Consider the following 24352-nt stretch of genomic DNA (forward strand, 5'->3'; position numbering starts at 1 on the left):
GACATGACCTCCAGGCAGAGACAATTGTTAAGGTGAGAACTAAAGGAGGATGAGAGGCTAGCTAGGTCTGCAAAGTGTTGGGGAAAGACTATTCCAGGCAGAGTGAATGGCATATGCAAAAGTTTCGAAGGAGGAAAGAGGTTGGTATGCTAGAGAAACAGCATGAAGCTCAGACAGAGGGTGGCTCAGGTTGAGGTTAAAAAGAGAAGCACTAGTGGATAATGAAAAATGTGATATCTATACACCATGGAATACTACTCAGCCATAAAAAGGAACAAAATAATGTCTTTTGCAGCAACCTAGATGAAGCTGGAGGCCATTATTCTAAGTGAAGCAATGGAAAACCAAATACCATATGTTCTCACTTATAAGTGGAAGCTAAGCTATGAGGACAAAAAGACATACAGAGTGATTTAATGGACTTTGGGGATGTAGGAGGGGAGATTGAGAGGTGGGTGAGGGATAAAAGACTACACACTGGGTGCCGTGTGCACTGCTCAGTGACATGTGCACTCAAATCTCAGAATTCACCACTAAAGAACTCATCCATGTAACCAAAAGCCACCTGTACCCCAAACACTACTGAAATTTTTAAAAAGAGAGAGAGAGAAGCAGTCGCCAGACAATTCTGTGCCTTGCAGGCCATGATAAAGAGCTTGCATTTTATTCTACGTGTGTAACAATGCACTGAGAGGATTTGAGCCATGGAGGTAGAGGACGTGGTCTAAATATCAACGTTTCTTTTGCAGTTGTGTAGTGTGTATGCACACGCAGGGTCATGTGTAGAGGTGGAAGTCAGAAGAAGCCAGTAGAGCTGATGATCACACAAGTCCTGAAGTAGCCTAGACTAAGGGAGTGTCTAGGAAGAAGGACAGGAAGGGGCAGAGAAGAGATGTAATTTAAAACTAGAACTGATACAGTTTGGTGACATGATGGAGGAAGACACCACATGCAATGGAGTCAAAAAGGAATCCAATGTTTGTGCTTAACTGGTAATGAACAGCTTTGAGTGGAATACAGAGATCTATTAGGTATCTTTTAAGTGTAGGATGTGTAGGATCATGCCACATATATGGATTTATATCTATGTTTTCTAACAAATAATTCATGAGCATTTGCAATATTAGTGTACAAAAATATAGTTTTAAGGGCTACGTAGTATTTTATCTCATCAATTCATCACAACCTATTTAACCTATTACCAATTAGTAGGCATAAAAATTGTTTCTACTTTGATTATCCTCCTTGAACAAAATCTATCTGTGTACTTCTGATTATCTTCTTGAGATCTTTGGAGATATTGAAACAAAAAGCACAAAAAATGTTTAAGGCCCTTGATACAAATTCCCTCCAGAAAGATCATATTAGCTTTCCTTCTTCCAGCTTTATTTTAAATAGCTCCAAAGTAGGTACGTAAACTCATGGCAATATTATGAGTTTCATGTTAATAGACATTTGTGGCCAGATGCGGTGGCTCATGCCTGTAACCCCAGCACTTTGGGAGGCTGAGGCAGGTGGATCACATGAGGTCACATGAGGTCAGCAGTTCGAGACCATCCTGGCCAACATGGTGAAACCCCACCTCTACCAAAAACACAAAAAATTAGACGGGCGTGGTGGCAGGCACCTGTAATCCCAGCTACTTGGGAGACTAAGGCAGGAGAATTGCTTGAACCCAGGAGGCAGAGGTTGCAGTGAGCCAAGATCACACCACTGCACTCCAGCCGGGGCAACAGAATGAGACTCCGTCTCAAAAAAAAAAAAACAGATATTTGCATGTCTTTCTTTAAAACAACTATTATACATAATGCTGTAATAAAAAACTTTAAACATAAAATTTGCTGAAATTTCCTAGAATTACTAGATTGATGAGTATGAATATTATTTTAAAGGTTCTTGATAAATACTCACAAAATGCATTACCTAAAGGTTATGGCAGTTTCTACCAAATCTGGAAGAAATTCAGCATCACTCAACTGACAATTACAGTGTCAAAATGAGACTAATTTTTCCCATTTTAATTATGGTTTTTAAGAATTTTCCACCAATAATTTGAACAGATGTCAACAATGTATTAAAGAGACCACATGATGGTAAAACTGTCCCCTTTCATTTTGAGAAACTGCTTGTTCTAGTAAGAAAATTAATTTGGAGTATGGCTTAGTGAGAAATAATGAATGACTGCCATGATCATATTTATTCAACTAAAAAAACAAAAACTCTCACATCTAAAAAATACACAAATAAAGAACATTCAGTGGATGTGTTCTTTACACAATTACTTCCAACCTCCCTTCTCTAAACATTCAAGCATTGGTCTAGGTCAGGGGTCAGCAAAATATTTCCATAAAAAGCTAAGATAACTATTTTCCAGCCTTGAGAGTGCACATGAACTCTATCCAACTGCTCAATTCTGCTTCTGTAGTGTGAAAGCAGCCATTGACAAGATGTACATGAAGTTGTTTTTCAGTGAAAGTTTATTTACAGAAAGAGGCAGATTTGTCCCTTGGGCCATAGTTTCTAAATCCTGGTCTAGATGTTGGTCATGCCTCTTCAGGTAAGGAATTCTCCTTAAGTAATTGTTGGGGTAGAGTTCAAGTAATACTTGGTGTGGAGGTGGAGGGTGTTCCTTGTCTCCCAGGTTAGTCTATGCCAGTGGTTCTCAAAGTATGGTCCCATGAGACTGGCAGCAGCAGCAATACCCAGAAACTTACATGAAATAAAAATGACTGGTCTCTACCCCAGGACTTGATAGAATTAGAAATTCTAGGGGTGGAGGTTCAGCAATCTGTGTTTTAACAAGCCTTCCAGATGATTCTAATACCTGCTAAAGTTTGTGGACCAATGGTCTCAGCCACATCAAAACGTCCTAATGAAATATGGGGAGCTAGGCTCTATTTCTCACAGCAGGTCCTCATCTCTTGCTAATCTCAAGTGCTGCCACCCCACTGTGCGGCTGACAATAACAGGCACACACCACACATGACTCCAGACACGGGGTACCTCAACACACATGCAGAGATGGAAGCTATTCCCCGAGTGGTACAAAGACTATTGTTCTTTTAGTCATGTTTCTGTAAAAGTTAAAAAATACAAACAAAAAAGAAACGTGTGGTGAGTGTGATGTGAGAGAGAGGCTGCGAGACAGATTTATGTATGCTGATGAAGCTCAAGAAGCTACTATTTACATTTAACTCCCCACATGAGCAAGCATGAAACATTTTGCTAGCACTTCAGGAAATCCACTTTATTATTATTTTCTGCCTGCCTTCTCTGTTCTTTTCTCTTGGTGAATCTTTTTATTATAAATTTCATCCCGCAGTGAGAAAAAATTTGAATTAAGCATGGAAAGAAAAGCAAGCTTAGGTTTAAATGCCATCATCTTGATTTTTTCATTATTTACAGCCTTTGGTGCTTCTTGTATTTATTCCAGTTACACTAAGATAGTGGAATAACATCTGTTCAGAAAAAAAATAACAAAGGATTTATATACAGAAAGCAGAAAGACAATGTTCCCCTATTGGTAAAGTAATATAGCTGATGTGAGCTTATGGCATGCCCTCGTAAACAGCTGCATAGCCTCACCAAAAGCTGAAATCAAGTGTCTCTACATTCAGAATGCTGAGTGGAATCTAAAGATACGGGTGTCTGTGCCCTTTGAGAATATTCTAAATTCTTGAAAAGATACTCTATTAGAATTCTAACTGGACCAATTGGACTCGAGATGACAGTGAACACTGATTAAGTACTTTCAATGAGCCAGATAGCAATATGAAGCAATAACTTTATAATCCTTACTCCCACCCAATGAGATTACTAGTCTCATTTTACAGAAGTATAAACTGAGGCTCAGAAGTTGCCCCATCACCCAGGTAGCAAGCAACAGAGGAGACGGGACTCAAATCCGGGGGAGTATGACTGTCTGTGTTCTTGACCAGAGAGGTCTAGGAAATGTTCACAATCAGAATGATAATAAAGACAAACCAGGAAGCACCAGTATAGAAAATAAAAGCAAAAAACCAACACATATTCTTTCTAAATTCAAGTTCTTGTACTTGCAAAGGTTTTTAAGCCAGTGCCTGATTCTGGGAAGTCTCCCAAAAGCATAGCTGGTGCTGTAGAAATTTGTTGATATGATCAGTGTCCCCACAGAGTGTGTTTCTTTCAGTAGTATATGGTTAAGAGTGCTGAACTTCAAGCGAGGCTTGATTAGTTCAGATCGAGGCCCCAAATTCACCAGCTTGCCTTGGGCATGTTGCTGAACTTCTCTGAGCCTCAGTTCCCTAATCTATCAGGTGGGGATAATAATAGTATCTGCTCAAAAGGGCTGTGCAGCTTCATGAGATCATGCACTAACGCAATATCCAGTATAACACATAGTAAGTGTGCAGTAAATTGTTACTTTTACCAAGGCTCATAACAATGCAGTGTGTAAGCTTGATTAGATCTGGAATTTAAAAAAATAAGAACAACAGAGACGTTTATGGCTCAGCTAAGGGAATGTTGACTATGAACTCAAAGTTCGATGATGTTACTGAACGAATGCTGATAAGTGACAACTGCATCATGGCTTGTAGGAAAATGTCATCATTTTGTGGTAATTTTTGGTTATTTGGGGATGAGTTATCATGATATCTGTACCCTAAACTCAGATAACCTAGCAAAATGGAAATAGGTGTAAATATGGACAGATGGCATGGGTGTAGCAAGATGTTAACAGCTGGTGAATCCTGGTGATGGGAGTACATGTTTTGTTGTTTTTTCAACACTAGCGTGGGTTTGGAAACTTTCAAAGTAAAAAAGTAAAATAAAATATATATATATATTTCTGAGACAGGCTGGAGTACAATGGTGTGGTCGTGGCTCTCTGCAACCTCCACCTCCCAGGTCCAGGTGATTCTCCCACCTCAGCCTCCCGAGTAGCTGGAACTACAGGTGTGTGCCACCACATCCAGCTAATTTTTGTATTTTTAGTAGAGATGGGATTTCACCATGTCAGCCAGGGAGGTCTCAAACTCCTCACCTCATGATCCTCCTGCCTCGGCCTCCCAAAGTGCTGGGATTACAGGTGTGAGCCACCATACTCAGCCAATAATTATTTTTAAAAGCAGTTACAGTCATAAGGACACTGTAAAACATCTATGTGAATCTCAATATAAAAACCAAAGACTGACTTTCCTTCTAACCTGCCACATCATAAAGTTGTCCAAATGGCCCTCTCAATGCCTACCATATGAAGAAACCAAGAGAGTGACATCTGAATGGCACAGACTTCCAGAGAACACTCAGCCAAGGCATAAGAGCAAGGTTTGTTTCCATGAGCCAGCACCCAGGGGTAAACCCTTGTAATCCAGGGTTTTAGGAATCTGCTGACAGGTAAGATGTTTTAAATGTTTTTATGCAAATACAACTGAGATCCCATTGGTATTCCACAGCCTTGAACATCCATAGTAATTAACACAAATGTTCTCCTACCCTCCCAGCCTCACCCCAATTTATTCACAGACTGGAATAGATAATCTGGATTGCAAACTGTATTCTAATATGATCTGACGTCATTCATGCAACAGTTGGCTGGGGCCAGAGTTCTAGGTGCTCTGACCTACATTGGGAAATCTCATTCTGACTGCATTACAGTATAGCATGCCACTTCAATTTCTACTGGACTGTGAGAGCAGAAACCACTGTGATACACACATCATTTGATGGGTCTGAAAAAAGTGACACAATTTCCCATCAACAGAGCATCCTTGAGTCTATTCTCTACACAGCGCCTCTCTTTAAATAGTTTCAAATTCAGAAACAAAAGAGAGAGTCACAAGTAATCGCCATGGTCCCGGGGCAGAGGGAGGAAGAGGGATACGGGAGGAGAGGGGCACCTATTTTATGTAAATGTGGTTGTGTACAAAACAAGTTCTAGACTTATTTCATATGTTGCCAACCCACTAAGTTAAACATTCTCAAACCATTAAGATTCATCTCTCTGATTGACCACAGCTCTCATTTTTCAAGAATGTGGTACATAGTGCTCTTATTTAAAAAATATTTAGGGGAGAGAGTTCTAGGCTGATTATCAGATATTTCTAATCTCCATAATTCCATAAACGATTATAATTTGCACACTCCACTATTTTCATTCCACCTCACTGTAGTCTTCCAGCTGCTATTCAAAAGTGATTATAAATAATGGGGCTATAAAAGCCATTCAGTAATTAGGACACTCACTGGCCATATGCCAATCTTGACAATGGAAGGTGATTTATGTAAGACAACCCTATCACATCTGCCATCCTGGTTTCCCCTCTGACAGGCTCACTGGTCACGTATTAACATTGCCCTTAATGATCATTTTTTTCTTGACTAAAGAGCAAACGGGCAACCCAAAGTTCTACAGCTTTTTTTTTAAACTATGTTTATAAGGGAAAACACATACACACACACACACACACACATACACACACACACACATTAAGCCATTTATTTTCTGTCTTGTCATTTAACATATCCAGAGAAAGGAGAGAAGGCATAGAATGAAGTAAACTGGATCAGGTAAAAATCCTGGCACTTGCCATCAAATAGGAAAGACCTCAATGAATTCCAAGTACAAAAACAAAAAACTTCAGACCCAGCCGACCAAATCTTATCCCCTCAGCACAAAGGCTTCAATATACACAAGGTTAAGCCCATTGCAGGCTTTGCCTAGTGTTTCTCAAAAGGAGTGCCACTGCCATCTTGGGCAGGACAATTCTTTGTCACTGTGAATTTGTTCCATGAAACTCTGGACATTCAGCCTCCCTGTTCTTGGCAGCTCCAAACTAAATGCATGGTGTATTCCCTAGTTACTGTGACAAACCTAGTGTGACAGTCCCACCCAGGGGTTGGGTAAACATATAGAAATTGGGAACAGTTATACTTAAGTGCCCCTTTACACATATGTGGAATCTTCTTTCTTATTTTTCTTTTAGAGCAAAGAGCATATTAGAAAAAAAAATATTGCAAGCTGGGCATGGTGGCTCCTGCCTGTAATCTCAGCACTTCGGGAGGCCAAGGCAGACAGATCACTTGACCCCAGGAGTTCAAGACCAGCCTTGGCAACATGGCACAACCCTGTCTCTAAAAAAAATGTAAAAAATTAGCCAGGTATGGTGGTGCATGCCTGTAGTCCCAGCTACTTGGGAGGCTGAGTTGGGAGAATCACCTGGGCCTGGGAAATCAAGGCTGCAGTGAGACATGATGGCATCACTGCATTTCAGCCTAGGTGACATTGAGACCCTGTCTCCAAAAAAAGAAAGAAAGAAAGAAAGAAAGAAAGAAAGAAAGAAAGAAAGAAAGAAAGAAAGAAAGAAAATTGCAAAAGGGCTTATATTGGTGATGATTCCAAATTGTTGAGATTTGATATGCACATGCATATATTTCCATACATTTCTTCTAGCACAGGGCTGTTGTGCGAAAGGCAGCACGGTTTAGGGCTGGGAACACAGGTACGAAAGGCTTTCTCTGAAAACTGTATCTAAAAGACACTGCTCCATCAGTGTCTGTTCTATTGCTCTGGTTTATTGCATTCATAGCAGTTATGATTCTTTGAAATTCTTATTTATATATTTATCTTGTTTATTGTCTGTCATCCCCACCCCCCAAACCATGAGAGTTTCCTATGAAGACTGAGATCCTCTTAGCCTAGAATAGAGTCTCTTGGACTACAGGAGGAGCTGGCATAGACTATGTGACTGAACAAGTGAGTGAATAAAGGATGATACTGCTAATTAAAATGACACAGGCAGTGGCTAAAGCAGAACTAGGCAGACCTAAGTTCCCATCCTGACTTTGCCATCTGCTGCCTCTGTGTGTTCTTGGGCAACTTACTTAATCACTCTGGGTCTCCATTTCCTCATCAGAAAAATGGGGATAAGAATAGCATCTACCTGACAGGGCTGTCATGAGGACTAAATGAGAATATACAACGTAATGCTCACTAATGTGAGCTACCCTTTCCTTCATCATCTGACTTGAAAGTGACATGATTCAAATATACCTTTCATGAAATTCTATTCTCCAAGAAGGTAACAGAAAAGAATTTTTTTTAAGATTCATGATTATGACAATGTACAAAACAAATGAGTTAAACAAGCCAGCCTTTCCATATCTCCAGACTGCAAACTAATTAAAACTGGTGTGTTATCACCAGATTGCTTTCACACGCCCGCTTCTGTTTGTACTACACTGTATGGCCGAAGGTGTGCAAGCAGAGACAGAATTTCCTTCCTTCCTCCCACCTCAGGCCTCAAGTAGCTGGGACTACAGGAGTGCGCCACCATGCTCTCCTGATTTTTTTTTTTTTTTTTTTTTTTTTTTTTTCAGACAGAGTCTCGCTCTTTCACCCAGGCTGGAGTGCAGTGGTGCGATCTCAGCTCACTGCAACCTCCTCCCAGGTTCAAGTGATTCTCCTGCCTCAACCACCCAAGTAGCTGGGACTACAGGCATGTGCCACTGCACCCAGCTAACTTTTATATTTTTAGTAGAGACGGGGTTTCACCATGTTGGCCAGGCTGGTCTTGAACTCCTGACATGAGGTGATCCGCCCACCTCAGCCTCCCAAAGTGCTGGGATTACAAGCGTGAGCCACCAGGCGTGGCCGTGGCTTATTTTTTTGACTTTTAGTAGAGACAAGGTTGTGCTATGTTGCCCAGGCTGGTCTCAAAATCCTGAGCTCAAGCGATTCTCCCGCCTTGGCCTCCCCAAGTGCTGGGTTTACAGGCATGAGCCACTGCATGCTGCCCATTATTTTCATTTGCATTGCCCTGATGACTGACAATGTTAGTCTTGTCAAGTACTAACAGAAGTGTCTTTTCATTTGTTAAGTTTCTATTCAAATTGTTCATCAGTGTATATTGGTTGTCTTCTTAATGTTGACTTGTAAAGGCCCCTTATATATCCCTCATATCAGTCCCTTGCAGAAAAACATTTTTCAAGTATTCTCTCCCAGTCTGTGGTTACCAATTCATTTTCTTAATGATGCCTTTTGATGAGTGGAAATGTTCTATGTTGAAATGAAGTCTAATTTATCAATTTTTATGGTTATTTTTTCTCTATTATTAATTTACTACAGATGAGTCAGAAAACAAAATAACGAAATAGAAGAACTCTGGGCAAGGAGTCAGGGGGCCTGGATTTGAGACTTAAATCTGCACAGGTATTTGAGTTTCGGGAAGTCATCTGGGAGGGTTGATTTTATGTGTTAACTTGACTGGGCCACAGCATGTCCACGTATCTGGTCAAACAGAATTCTGGGTGTTTCTGTGATGGGGTTTTGAGATAAGGTTAACATTTGTATCAACGGACTGAGTAAGCCAGATTGCCCTCCTTAGTGTGGGTGGGCCCCATCCAATCAGTTGAAGGACTGAATAGAACAAAATTACTGTCCTTCCTCCAAATAAAAGAATTACTTTCCAGCCAGGTGCGGTGGCTCAGGCCTGTAATCCCAGCACTTTGGGAGGCCGAGGTGGGCAGATCACCTGAGGTCTGGAGTTCAAGACCAGCCTGACCAACATGGAAAAACCCCGTCTCTACTAAAAATACAAAATTAGCCAGGCGTGGTGGTGCATGCCTGTAATCCCAGCTACTCAGGAGGCTGAGGCAGGAGAATCGCTTGAACCCAGGAAGCAGAGGTTGCAGTGAGCCAAGATCGTAGCCTGGGCAACAAGCGCAAAACTCCGTCTCAAAAAAAAAAAAAAAATTACTTCCGTCTGACTGCTTTGAGCTGGGAATCAGTTTTTCCTGTGTTCAGACTAGAACTGAAACATGGGCTCTTCTTGGGTTCAGGTCCACCAGCCTTCAAACTGGGAGTACCATCAGCTCCTCTGGGTCTTCAGCTTGTCATGTGCAGGTCTTGGGATGTGCCAGTCTCTATAACTGTGTGAGCCAATTCCTTAAATGAAATCTCCTTCTCTCTATATATACATCCTACTGGTTCTGTTTCTCTAGGGAACACTGACTAATACATCATCTGCCTCCTTTAGCTCCAACATAGCATGAAGCATTCTACTCAATTCTTAATGAATATTGCTGGAATGTCTAATACATCGGCTCTAATTCACATATGTATAAATGAATAAGTTGGATTCGACAACCCCAGAGGCCTCTCCTGTTCTAAGAGCCTCTGATACTTATCTTGCTCTCACCTTTCCATTCCAATGACTCCTTTTCCCTCAGGTGTCCTCCACCAAAATTAATTCGGCTGTGCTTCTCAGAAAAAGCGACAAAGCTCCCTCCCAGCTAATCAGCTTAGAAGTAATTCTAACAGGCTCCAGCTACATAGAAACCTGTTCTGGTTTGATTGTCCTCACCTTTTTGGAAGGAAGCTGAAGAGTTCACAAAAATTCAACATTGTTGTATGTTTATTCACAACAAGGGTTGCAGCAGTTGAATTCTCTTAACTTCCTCTCCGAATATATTGCTTATATACTGACGTATTTACCCGAATCCTAAAATAACATTTTAAAACTGCAAGGAAGATACCAAATGCACCAATAAATCCAACTAACGAGTGTTCCTATTAGGGAAGAAAGTCCCTGACACATTATAGTTCCCAAAACACAGAAGGAGATCAAACGTTTGTCACTGAAACAAACTGAAATAGGTCCACACTTCAGCCTTTGGGAACTGTGACACCCTCTTTTTTGTTGCTTGATTCCAAACCAGTCCTTATGAGAAAGAAAATTATCTTTACCCATTCATGTGACTTTAAATAAATTTTGCAATGCCCTTTGAGACCAAACCACACCCTTGGAGATACCAAACCACAATTGAGAATTTTTGCTTTCTAATAAGCCTATATTAAAAAAAAAAAAGTAGGTGATGGTGACTGAGAGCTATAGTAAGAACCTGAAGGGATTCAGTTCACTAAGCTTCCCCACATGGCTCTAACAGCAAAAGCACAGAGCTGCTCTCTCTTGGGGTCCTGGAATGTTCTAACGACAAGGCATCAGCCAGGCTTACTCAGAGTGGAAGTGGCAACCGAATGTTGTTACCTCTAAGACAGGGAAGTAAACTTCAATGAACACTGAAATCACCTGGGGCATGTCTATAATAGCACCAGCGCCTAGGCCCCCACTTCAGACCAATTCAGAATCTATAGGGAAGGACTAGGCATCGGTATTTTTTTTCTAATCTCCACTAGTAATTCCAAAGTGTAGCCAGGGTTCTAAGCCTAGCCTACTTCTCAGACTGTGAATTCACGGTAGATTCACTAATTGTCAAAATATACACACAGAATCTTCTGTTGATAGAGCATCCTGTATAATCTCCTAAGATGAAGTGCCCTTAGCTTCAAAGAAGAAATATAAGACTCTGAACCAGGTGCAGAGAGTGGTACGGGAGTGAAGAACATCAATGAGATAAGGAAGTGGAAAAATTCTAACACCCTCTTAGAGTCACAGCCCTGGGAATTTAAATCGTGTTTCTGCCTGCCCTGACTAAGGAAGAAAACTGAAATTAGCTGGGTAGAAATTTCATCTAAAAGAATCAGGAGACTCCAAGTGACCTGTACTTTGATGTCTCTCACTGTGGCTCAGCCACGCTTTTCTCTTTCACACCAATTCCTGAGAAAAGTCATCAGTAACTGATATGTAGTTTGAAGAACAGACATCAAATACAAAGGATGGGTTAGGGGCCCAAGGTTTCTGCCAGGCTGTGATCGATGACAAGGAACAAGGTGAGAAAGGGCCTGCTGGGATCACAAATGCAGGGCTTTCCCACACTGAAATCATAATAATGATGTCTTAAAAGTTGCACAGGCTGACTTCTGAAGGTGCACAAAGCACCAACACATTTAGAAAGCACTGGAAAAGATGAAAGAACAAATAGAAGGCTCCCCAAAATTAAACACAACTCAACATGACTGCTGTGAGCTGGGTAATTATCTCGTTGATGGATTCTACACTCCAGCTAACACTGAACCATGTGCTACCTCAAAAGGTTTCTTCAAGCACCAGCACCAATGAATGCTTGCAGCCACTCCCATATCTTGATCAAGCCCTTCAGTGCTCACAAGAACAATCAATTTTCTTTAATGAGACATTATTCTGCCACTGGTCAAACATGCTATGACCATCAAACCTTCTATCCGGAAGACTCGAAGGGAATGAAAAGCCTTTGAGAATTTTACATCAGCAAACCAAAAATACTTAAGGCTAGCAGAAAACCATCTTCTTCAACCAGATACCAAAATTTTGAATAAAGTGTTTTTATAATGACTTAGCTAGACAGTCCGCCCTATCTATAACCTTGATATGTAAGCTCTGTTTATACATACTGAAGTCATACTGGCATCTCAAAAGTTCAAGCAAAATCAAATCATGAAAGTAAATCGGTTACATTTTCTATCCTTTTTCTTGATAAAAAGAAGGCTAGCTTAACATTTGCTTTTCTCCCCATAATTAGAAAGATTCTGGAAAGAGAAAATGTAGTCAAACAGGCTTGAGCAGAAAATAGCTTTTTTAAAAAGTGCCTTATATAAAAGAATAACAATTAAGGAATAAAGCTCCATCTCTCATTTGATAGGTATTACCTGCCTGGAAATTAAATCATACTTAGTGCTTTCTCTAGAGAAGACTTCTGTTCCAAAATGAGGGTCTAATGTTTTGAGTGGTGCAAGCCAAATCAGCTTGAAGAAACAGAAGGCTCTGCTAAGCTTTAGCAGAACAAGCCCTAACATAATATGCCAGAGAACACGTTTGACAAAACAGAAGTAGAAAAATATTTTCAAAATCAGTTCTTGGCTTAAATATAGCATTTGGCACCTCCAGTAAACACAGAGGAGAAGATCTAACTTGGTAGCACCATGTGACTTTCTGAACTGCAGCAGACCAGATGGTGGGGTGAGTTATTCATTTCTCAGCTCCTCACCCACTTTTCCCTTCCATTAGTGACTTCTCAGTTCAGGGTCCCTTAGAAGAGCTGGAAATAAAAGAACTGGATAAATACATAGAACTAGTTTTCTTAGTACTTATTATTCTACTTTAAAACCATGTTACTAGCAAACACCTCATGCCAACTCAACAGCTCTTGTTAGTAAGTGTTCTGGATTATATAGTCAAGTCAATGTCTCATTTGCTATCTACGAAAAATAAAGAGGGTGACACTTCCCCTTCTGTAAAGATAGGGCAGACATACCTTTCCCTATTCCTCCCACTAAGTACAACTATAGGCCTTGGATCTAGGAAATTAAGAAGATGTCTGAAATGTAAAGAGAAAAAGGCAGACCAACTAGGAACCTTGGGACAAACCTCAACATGGTGATGAGTTTCATGGGTTTTCTTTATGTCTCATATATCCCAGAATCAGAGCTGAAGAACCCAGGAATGGGTAAAAACCAAGTGGGATGAAGGAAAACAACAACAACAACAACAACAAAGCCTGTTCTCTCTAGCTAAAGAATTAGGGAAGAAGGAGGGAAACTGGCAATAAGGAAAACTGTTACACAATAACGGCTCTACTTCAGCCAAATACCACAGGAAAAGACTATACTTCCACCACCACCCACGCCAGCAATGATTGAATGGGGAGCTTAGAATTCCGCCCTTTTCAGACTGTATTGGGGTCACCTAATCTCTGCTCCTCATTCTGGGGTACTGTCAAAGAAGACTGAGTAAAGACAGAATCTTCGACCCCATGGGTGGAATCTCTTCTTCTCCCCACATCCCCTCTTCCTTATCCGCTCTTCATCATCTTTGGAGACCCCAGAGGAATTCAGCACTTCTGCCCCACATAGCAGTAATATGAAGTCATTCCTCCCACTGAATGTCAAAGGAAGAAGAGGAGTGGGAAACCTAGACTTCTACCCCCACTGGACTGTAACAAGGTCTCATATCTCCTTCCCCTAACAAAGTGGTGTCAGATAAAACCATCTAAAACAGAAGGTTTAAGTAAGTTTCAGTCTCATAACATAATATGCAAAATGTCCAGATTTTAATTGAAAATCACTCATCATATGAAGAATAAAAAAAACTCAACCTGAATGAAAAAGGCAAGATGACAAAAATGTTACAATTATCTGACAAGGATTTTCAAACAGTCATCCTAAAAATGATTCAAGGAACAATTATGAACACACTTGAAACAAACAAAGAAGTATAAAACCTCAGCCCAAAAAAAAAAAAAAAAACCCAGAAGACATAGCAGGGCAGGAAGCTAAGACGAGCAGATTTCTTGAGCTCAGGAGGTTGAGGCTACAGTAAGCAGTGATCGTACCACTGCACTCAGCCTGAGTGACAGAGTAAGCCCTGTTTCAAAGAAAAGAAGAGGAAGAAATAAAGATAAATAGAAATTTTAGAACTATAAATTATAACCAATGAAATAAAAAGCTCAGTTGATAGGCTCGACAAGAAAATGGAGGAGACAGTAGAAAAACATTAGTCAATTTGAAGGTAGGATATTAAAAATTAAAGGCCACGCACAGTGGCTCACGCCTGTAATCCCAGCACTTTGGGAGGCTGAGGCAGATGGATCACTGAGGTCAGGAGTTCAAGACCAGCCTGGCCAACTTGGCAAAACTCTATCTCTACCATAAATACAAAAATTAGGCTGGCATGGTGACGCACACCTATAATCCCAGTTATTTGGGAGGCTGAGGTAGGAGAATCACTTGAACCTGGGAAGCGGAGGTTGCAGTGAGCCGAGATTACACCAGTACACTCCAGCCTGGGTGACAAAGTAAGACTCCATCTCAAAAAAAAAAATAAAAAGAAAGAAAAAAAAAACAGTGAAAATGAATGGAAAAAAGAAACAGAGCCTCAGGGATCTTTGGGACTCTAACAACAGACCTAAAATTTATGTCACTGGAGGCCCAAAAGAAAGAAAGAGTTAAACATTTACTTAAAGAAATAATGACAAAACATTTCTTAAAGTTAGCAAAATATATAAAAATAGAGGTTCAAGAAGGTCAGCAAACCCAAAATAGAATGTTTTAAAAATCCACACCAAAATATACTCAAATTTTTGAGAACTGAAAGAAAAAAAATATTGAAAGCAGTGAGAGAAATACTACCTTACATAGAAAAAATAGAGTGACAGTAAATTTTTCATCAGAAACCATGGAAACCTAATAGAAAAGGGTACAACATTTTTCAAGTCCTAGAAGAAACGAACTGTCAGCCCAGAATTCTACATCCAGTAAAAATATTCTTCAGGAATGTAGGTGAAATCAAGAGATTCTCAGGTAACAAAAAATTAATAGACTTCATTGACAGTAAACCTATCCTAAAAAGATGACTAGAGAAGTTCTCTGAAATGTGGTTATAAAAGTAAGAATTTTAGGACAAAAAGAGGGAAGAAAAACAATGAAAAGAGTAAAAGTACAAGCAAATACATTTCTCTTCTCCTACTGAGTTTTCTAAATTAGGTTTGAAGCTCAACTATCTCATGTGGCTCTAAGAGTACATGGAGGAAATATTTCAGACAATGATATTATAAACCAGGATGTAAAGAGACGTAAGGTTTCAGCAATTCAGCCAAACTGGTAAAATGACCATTCTACATATAGTTATTTTATATACTTTTGAGTATATCTATTTTTACAGCCCTTTTAGTATTATATATAATGTAACACATAAAGCAATACTAAAAAGGCTAAAAAGAGATATGCTCAAAAACATTATAGATAAATCAAAATAGAATGCTAATAAATGCTCAACCCACAGGAAGAATAAAAAAGAAAATAAAAGAATAAGACAGAATAAATGAAAAATAAAAAATAAAAAGACATAATTTTTAAGGCTTAACATGTCCATAATTACATGAAGTGTAAATCACCTAAACACACCAATTAAAAGACAGAGGTTAGCAGAATAAATTTAAAAACATAACCCAACTATATTATGTTAACAAGAAACTTGCTTCAAATATAACACTATAGGCATGGTGAAAGTGAAAGGATAGAAAAAAATATGCAAACATTAATGAAAATAAAATAGAAATGCTATGTTAATATCAGACAATGTGGGCTTTACAGCAAAGAAACTTAACATAGACAGGAAGAGACATTATGTAATGATAAAGGGGTCAACCCACCAAGAAAACATAGCAATCCTAAATGTGTGTGCACTAAACAAGAGAGCTGCAAAATACATAATGCAATAACTGATAGAACAGAAAAGAGAAAGGAACAAATCAACAATCGTTGTTAGAGACTTTAACATCTCTCTCTCTTTCTCTCTCTCAATAATTGGTAGAATTAGAAAATTTCCAAGATGTAGAAAAACTCAACACCTTCAAACAACAGGATCCAAAAGACATTTACAGAACAATTGACCAAGCAACAGCAAAATGCACATTTTTTTCAAGTGCCCACAGAACATATACCAAGATTGACCGTGTTGTGTATGATAAAACAAATCTCAACAAATGTTAAGCGTCGAAAGTATACAGAATGTGTTCTCTAAATAGAAGAGAACCAAACTAGAAATAAATAAAAGAAAAATAGGAGTAAACCTCTAAATGCTTAGAAATCACACTTGTTAAAACAAAACTCATGGATCAAAGGGAAAATCTCAAGAGAAATTTTAAATACACATCGACATAAATAAAAAAACAACGTGTCAAAATTGTACAATTACACGTAAAGCAGTGCTAAAGGGAAAATTTACAGGGATCACATTAGAAAAGAAGATTCAAATCAATAAACTCTCTTATCACCTCAAGAACCCACAAAAACAAGAACAAAATAAACCCAAACAAGGAGAAAAGGGGAAATAATAAGGAAAAGAGAACAAATCAATGAAAGTAAAAACAGAAAACAATAAAACAAAGAGATGATTCTTTGAAAAGACCAAACAATTGATAAACTTCTAGCAAGACTGACAACAGGGAAAAACCAACTTAAGACACAAACTGCCAACAATATGAAGCAAACAAAGGATATCACTAAAGACCTTGCATACATCAAAGGATAAAGGAATATTATGAACAAATCTACAAACATACATTTGACAACTGAGATGAAATGGAGTTTGAAAAACACAAACTACCACTACTCATCCCATATAAAATATATAATTTGGACAGTCTGAAAGCTGTTAGGCAAATTGAAGAGAAAACAAGATTTCCCAATTTATTTTATGAACCTAGTATTACTCTGATACCAAAACCAAAGACAGTACCAACAACAACAACAAACAGTGGACCAGTATCTCCCACAAACCTACATGTAAGCATTCTAAAAAACAAACAAACAAACAAAAAACATCTCACAAACTGAATCCAGCAATATATGAAAACAATATACACTATGACCAAGTGGGGTGATTATTCCAGGGATGCAAGGTTGGTTCAATACCTGAAAATCAATTATTATAATCTACAATATTAATATGTTAACGAAGAGAAACCACATGATCATATCAACTGATTTAAAAGTATTTGATAAGATTCAACATTCTTTTATGACAAAAACTTTAAGAAAACTACAAATATGCAAGTTCCATTCTTTATGTGAAATTAAAAAAGAAAAGAAAGAAAACTACAAATAGAGGTATCTTGCTGGTAAAGAATACCCAAAACCCTACATCTGACGTAATAATTCATGGTGAAAAATGGAATACTTTTCCCCCTCAGATTGGGACAGCACAAGGCTCTCACCACTGTTGTTCAACAAGGAGCTAGAAGTTCTGGCCAAAGTGTTGGCAAAAAAGAGCCAGAAAAGTAAATAAAAGGCATATAAATCAGAAAGGAGGAAATTAAACTGTCTTGTTATTCCTCAAATATCATGATTATCTACATAGAAAATCCCAAGGAATCTGTTTTAAAAACAAAAAGCCTCCTAGTACTAATAAGTGAATGCAGAAAAGTCACAAGATACCAGATATACATCTGAAAATGAATGTATTTCTTTTTTTTTTTTCTTTTTTGAAACACTGTCACCTAGGCTGAAGTGCAGTGGCACTATCACAGCTCACTGAAGCCTCAACCTTTTGAGCTCAAGCAATCCTCCCACCTCAGCTTCCAGAGAAGCTAGTACTACAGGCCGTGTGTGTGTGTGTGTGTGTGTGTGTGCGCGTGCGCGTGCACACAGACAGGGTCTCATTATGTTGCCCAAGCTGTTCACTAACTCCTGGACTCAAGGGATCTTCCTGCCTCAGCCTCCCAAAGTGGTGTGAGCCACTGCACCTGGCCTTAATGAATGTATGCCTATATATTAGCAATGAACACAATGAAATCAAAATAAAAAGAACATTTAGGTATAAATCTAACAAATTCAGTACTTGTTTACTGAAAACTAGAAAACAGTGATGAAATTAAGATCCCCTAAATAAATAGTGATGATACACCACAATCAAGAATTCAAAGAGTCGACACAGTAAATATAGTATAATTCTCTTCAAACTGCTAGGTTTAACGTAATTCCTATCAAAATCCCATGAATGTTTTTTGTAGATATAGACAAAATTATTCTAAAATTCATATGAAAGGCAAACAAACTGGAATAGTAAAAAATTTTGAAACTGAAGAATAAAGATCAGCTTACTTGATTTTACAACTTAATATATAGCTACAATATTTAAGACTACGTGGTATTGATGGGGATGCAGACACACAGATTAATGGGTCAGAATCCAGAACTCAGAAACAGATTCATTCAAATATGCCCAACTGATTTTTCATGAAGATACAAAAGCAATTCAGTGGAGAAAGGACACCCTTTTCAACAAATGATACTGAAACAATTGGACATTCACAGCCAAAAGAGGACAAATGTTAACTTAAACCTCATATCTTACACAAAAATTAACCCAAAATGCATGGTAGACTTAAATATAAAACTATAAAGTGTGTGAAAAATGAAGTACACCTGTAATCCCAGCAACTTGGGATGCTGAGGCAGAAGGATCACTTCAGGCTAGGAGTACAAGACCAGCCTGGGCAACACAGTGAGACACCCCACCCCAATCTCTAAAAAAATACAAAAAATTAGCCAGGTGGAGTGGTGTGCACCTGTAGTTCCTGCTTCTTGGGAGGCTGAGGCAGGAGGGTTGCCTGAGCCCGGGATTACAAGGTTACAGTGAGCTGACTGCATCACTGCACTCCAGCCTGGGTGACAGAGACCCTATCTCTAAAAATTAAGCAAATAAAATAAAGTAAAATGTGTGAAGTCTTTGGTATCTGGATCTAGGCAAAGTTTTCTCACACCATGACAACAAAACCATAATCCATAAACGGAAAAAATAATGAACTGGGCATTATGAAAATTAACAACTTTTTTTCCTGCAATAGGCTCTGTTAAGAGGATGAAAAGACTGGGAGAAAATATTTGCAAACTATATATCTAACAAAGGATTAGTGTCTATCTGGAACATATAAATAACTCTGAATATTCAATAGTAAAACAACAATAACAAATAACCCAAGAAGAAAATAGATAAAAGATATGAACAGACTCCAAATATGAACTTTTCACTAAAGAAGATAGTGATGGCAAATAAGCATATGAAAAGATGTCTAACATCATTAGTGATTAGAGAAATGCAAATTAAAACCACAATTAGCTATTACTACACACCTATCAGAATGGCAAAAATATTGACAACGCCTAATGCTGGCTAGGATACAGAAAGCTGGATCACTCATACGCTGCCTGTGGGGATGTTAAAATGATATAGGCACTCTGGAAAATAGATTGGTAGTTTCTTAAATACCTAAACACAACTACCATTTGACCCAGTGCTATAGTTTAAGTGTATCTTGCCAAAAATCATGTTTTGGAAACTTAATCCCCAATGCAACAATGTTGAGAGGTGTGACCTTTAAGAGGTGATCATGACTGGATTACTGCTATTATTTCAAGAACAGGCTGGTTCCTCATAAAAGGATGAGTCTGCATTGCACCTCATGCTCTTGCATAAATGCTCTGGTGCTCTTCCACCCTGTGCCAGATGAAGGCCTCTTGACCCTGGACTTCTCAGCCTCTGGAACTATGATAAATAAAATTCTTGTCTTTATAAATTGCCTAGTCTGTGACATTCTGTTATATCAATGCAAAATGGACCAAGACACCCAGCAACAGTACTCCTTGACATTAATTCCACAACAATGAAAAATCATGCCCACACAAAAACCTGTGCACACGTGTTTTTAGGATAGATGGTTAAACAAACTGTGGCACATCCATATCATGGAATACTACTCAGCAATAAAAAGGAAGGAACTATTGATACATGCAACAGCCTAGAGGAATCTCCAGGGAATTATACTGAATGAGAAATGCCAAATGGGGGCCTTCTGTGTAGGCAAGGGACAGAGTCTCCTGTGGAGGGAGCACATCCCTGTGTTAACACCTTGATTTCCAACGTCTGGCCTCCAGAACTGTGAGAGAATAAATATCTGTGTTTTTAAGCCAACAAGTTTGTGGTAATTTCTTACAGCAACCACAGGAAATGAGTATACCAGCCACATCAGTGACCTGGGAACCTATTAGGAGTCCAGATTTTCAGGTCCTGATCCAGACTTTGTGAATCAGAATTTGGATTTAAGCAGTGCTCCCAGGTGATAAGAATGCAATTAAAGTATGAGAGGCATTGACATAAACTACTATACGATTCTTACAATTTACAGCAATGACTTTTGTACCAATGTAGAAAGTATTTAGTTATCAACGTGTAAAATAAGTAAGGTGCATATCTGAAAAATGCATATTTTTAGTTTTTCTTGGTGTGTATATAGTCAAAGTCTGAATGAAAATAAGCAAGACCAAAAAAATTGTTTCTTTAAGGTGAAGGGATTGTAACTCCCCCAACCCCACCTAGTCCTCATTTTATTCTCTATAATTCTGCTAATTTATTTTATGATAACTTTTTTAAGGCCAGCAGACTTACATGAAGATCGGCATTTGCCTTTTTTGCCCACTGCTCTTCTAGGATCACGCGTCACACAGTAGAATGAAATCCCACATTATGGACTTATCCAGGCTCATTAACAACCAGGTGTACAAGGAACCTGCCTGGTTTTAGCCAATTCAACCTCATATAAGAAGAACAAAACAAAACATTGCTCCAGATAATTATCTTTTGAAGAAACACCCAAAGCAGTTCAAACACACCCTGGAGCTAAGGCAAAGTAGCCAGTAGAGCCATACTCCATGCAAGTCCAAATCTTTGGGTCTACATTTATTCCAGGATGCAGATCTGGCAGCTAGAACCCCAGGAAACACTCAGTGCCTTGATGGTCATGGTGGTTAGCTGTGCACATGGAGACCTTTCCCTGTATATTGCGGCATGTGGACCTGCACATTAAGCCCACTTTGCCAGTCATGTGGAATCAGCATCCACCAGACAATGAAGTCAATTAACTGTTCATCAGTGAGTCAATTGTCAAATTATTTGTCTCCTTCTTTTTCTCACTGCAGACAGACATCCCAGGCATGCCATCCTTGCATATGACACCAAGAAAACACCACCAGATATCCAGAGGATCCAAGAGAGAATCCTTTTTTGCATATTTGAAAGCAACAATGTGCCCCATTCACCTCCAAAGTTAATTTTTCTAATGATTTGGCCTATAAGTCAACCTTCTCCCCACTCATCTCAAAGTGACTACATTTCAGACAAACTTTTCAGCTCATCTTTGGAGAATGTATCTCTCCAGTTCAAACATGCTCTAGGAATATTTATATGTAAACATCTAAAAACGTATCTTCTCTAGCTATTATGCTGAAGGGAAAAAACCCCACTCTAATTAAAGCACTAATGCTAAGTTGGATGAACAAAACAATATCTACTTCCAAACTTCAACAATTATTTATATACATGCAATCCAAAATGAAAACCAAATGAGAAATGGTTAAAATGAGTTTTATTATCGTGTCTAGACTAGTCACGCCTGTGCAGTGGAGCCATTATTTAAATATTTTTAAACTCTGATTATCAAAGGGGGTAGATAAATAATTCAACACTGTAAAAATTTTTGTTTTCACTTCTAGATATGTTGCCATTGCCATTATTTAAATGTTTCAAGAAGAAAATAGGATTCATAGTCATTCAAAGTGACTAACGGGGAGAGATAACCTACAAAAATAAATTATCACTTTAAATCAGGGCTCTCAATCTTAGTACTATTGACACGTGGGACCAGATAATTCTTTGTTGTTGGGAGAAGGGGGTCTTGCTCAGCATGTAGGATATGTTAGCGGCACCCCTGGTCTCTGTCCACAAGACACCACATGCCAGTACTTATTCCCTACCAGCTGGTGACAACCAAAACCATCTCCAGACATTGTCAAATGTCTCCTGGAAAATAAAATCACCCTCAGTTGAGAGCTACTGCTTTAACTTAGGGACTAGGGCAACCTAGTTGAATTCTCAAATGTAACTCAACTCTCCTTTAGCCCTCTAGGGATTTCGTGGTTTGCAAACCCAATAGAATGACTGTCACCATTTAGCTTCCTATGACCACATTTTAGGAATCACCTGAGTTTTAGTAGGTTTTCATGTAATGCAAGGCCATGGCGAGGCTTTACAGGGACTGAAATAATGGCAATATTAACTGGCCACTGGTTTTCAAGAGACTAAAGATGTAATTCGGAAGGCTGACACCAATGACCGGAATTATTATGGGGCATACCTGAGAAAGCCATGATGCCCAAAACTTCGGACAAGAAAGCTATAGTCCTGGCCTAAGTTACTATCAAAAATATGACCACCTATTAGCCTAAATTGCTGGAGTCCAGGACATGTGAGTCATCAGAAGTCTACCAGGAGAGCTTATCCAGCAAGAATCCGGGTCACTTGTAGTTTCAGAATAATCTCAATGAGATGAGAAAACTTGTATACTTTTTTTTCTTCCCCAGCGGAAATATGCATTAATATCACAACTTGAGTAGGAATAAAGAGCACCTTCTTGGACCACAAAGTCACCTTTGACTCCCTCCATCTTCCATATCTTTCACAACATATCAACTGCCCAGTTCTTCTAATTCCACCTCCTGTACAGCTCTTGAATGAGCCCACTCTTTTCCAACACACCTTTCACTACTAGACCATTACAGAAGCCTCCTAATCAGTCGCTTACCTTCCACTTTGGCCCCTTCCACCAGACATAAAGCAATCTTTCTAAAAGACGAATCTGATTGCCTTTCTCCAGTTTGCATTCTTTCATGGGCTTTCCGATGTGCTTAGAATAAATTACAGACACCTGCAAGCTTCCGTGTTATCAGGACCATGACTTAATATAAGGTGTCATGGATGTGGGGCACAGAACACAATGTCATGTGCAATGAAATCACACTTATGCAGGATTTTGTACTACAGGAGTTTATAAAACCCGAATCATTGATAGCACAAATTGCATTTAACAATTCCCTAAACTTCCAGAATCTGGACTTTTGGGAGCTCAAAAGCCAAGAATCAACCCCTCTAAGTTTCTCTTTGCATTTCTATTGTACCCTTCCTAAGGCAGTGAAAGGGAGTTAGGCCAAGGTTATTTTAAATCTAGCAGGGTTGTGAGTTGGGGAAGAAGAGGCATAATTAACAAAATTTCACTCTCTCTTTCTTTTTATAAAGAGTTTTTGTTACACTGGTGGAGTCTCACTGCACTTACCATGTGACTCCAGTATATAAAACACAACTCCAACTATGTTCAAAATATGCATACACATAGGCGTTATATTTCCATGGTGAGGAGGAGGGGATTGCTACACACAGTGAAATATGCAAGGCAAATGAACTAGAAAGAAATACAGCCATATGTGAACAGGAATATCTCTGGATGGTGAGATTAGAGATGATTAATTTGATTCTCAATACTTTCATGTATGTTCCACTATCAATAATGGAATTTTTTTAAACTCTAAATGGTTACTTTAAGTCTTTATATTAATATATGGACCTAGATATAGAATACATGGCAAAGGTAACATTAAATTGTTTTAGAATGAAAAGATTTATCACCTGCCCTGATTCTTCTCAGTTTGCAGATCTTTATGCCCAGATAACAGCCCCAGAATGGAAACTGTTGTCATTTGATGCTTTCACACGTCATCCCCAAAATCAATCATCTCTAAGGTTTTTAACGTACACACGGAGATATACAAAACTGAGGGCGTAAAAATGTCCAGTGAATCTGTTAAGTGTTGCAGTTGAATATTAGTGCCTGTGTGCCGTTTTGTGGAATGGTGACCTATCATGACTGTAAACAAAGAGAGAAAAACAGTTATGAAGTATGGCAGCCTTATAATAATCAGTGAAAAGCTTTCTCTGCCAGCACTTTCAAATAGAAGATTCCATGAATATTAAAAGCTTCAAATTCAAATCTCCATTCAACACACACCATTGAGTCTCTTTCTGTGTGCTAGTGACATATGAGTAATGAC

At 38.9% G+C, this 24352-nt stretch overlaps 1 protein-coding gene across 6 annotated transcripts in view; it reads right to left on the reverse strand.

Moving 5' to 3' along the window:
- Positions 1 to 24352, reverse strand: part of MAGI1 (membrane associated guanylate kinase, WW and PDZ domain containing 1) — a 685393-nt gene that overhangs the window by 276747 nt on the left and 384294 nt on the right. The window lies entirely within an intron of this gene.

This window comes from Homo sapiens, chromosome 3 (assembly GCF_000001405.40).
Source record: "Homo sapiens chromosome 3, GRCh38.p14 Primary Assembly".
Lineage (NCBI taxonomy): Eukaryota > Metazoa > Chordata > Mammalia > Primates > Hominidae > Homo > Homo sapiens.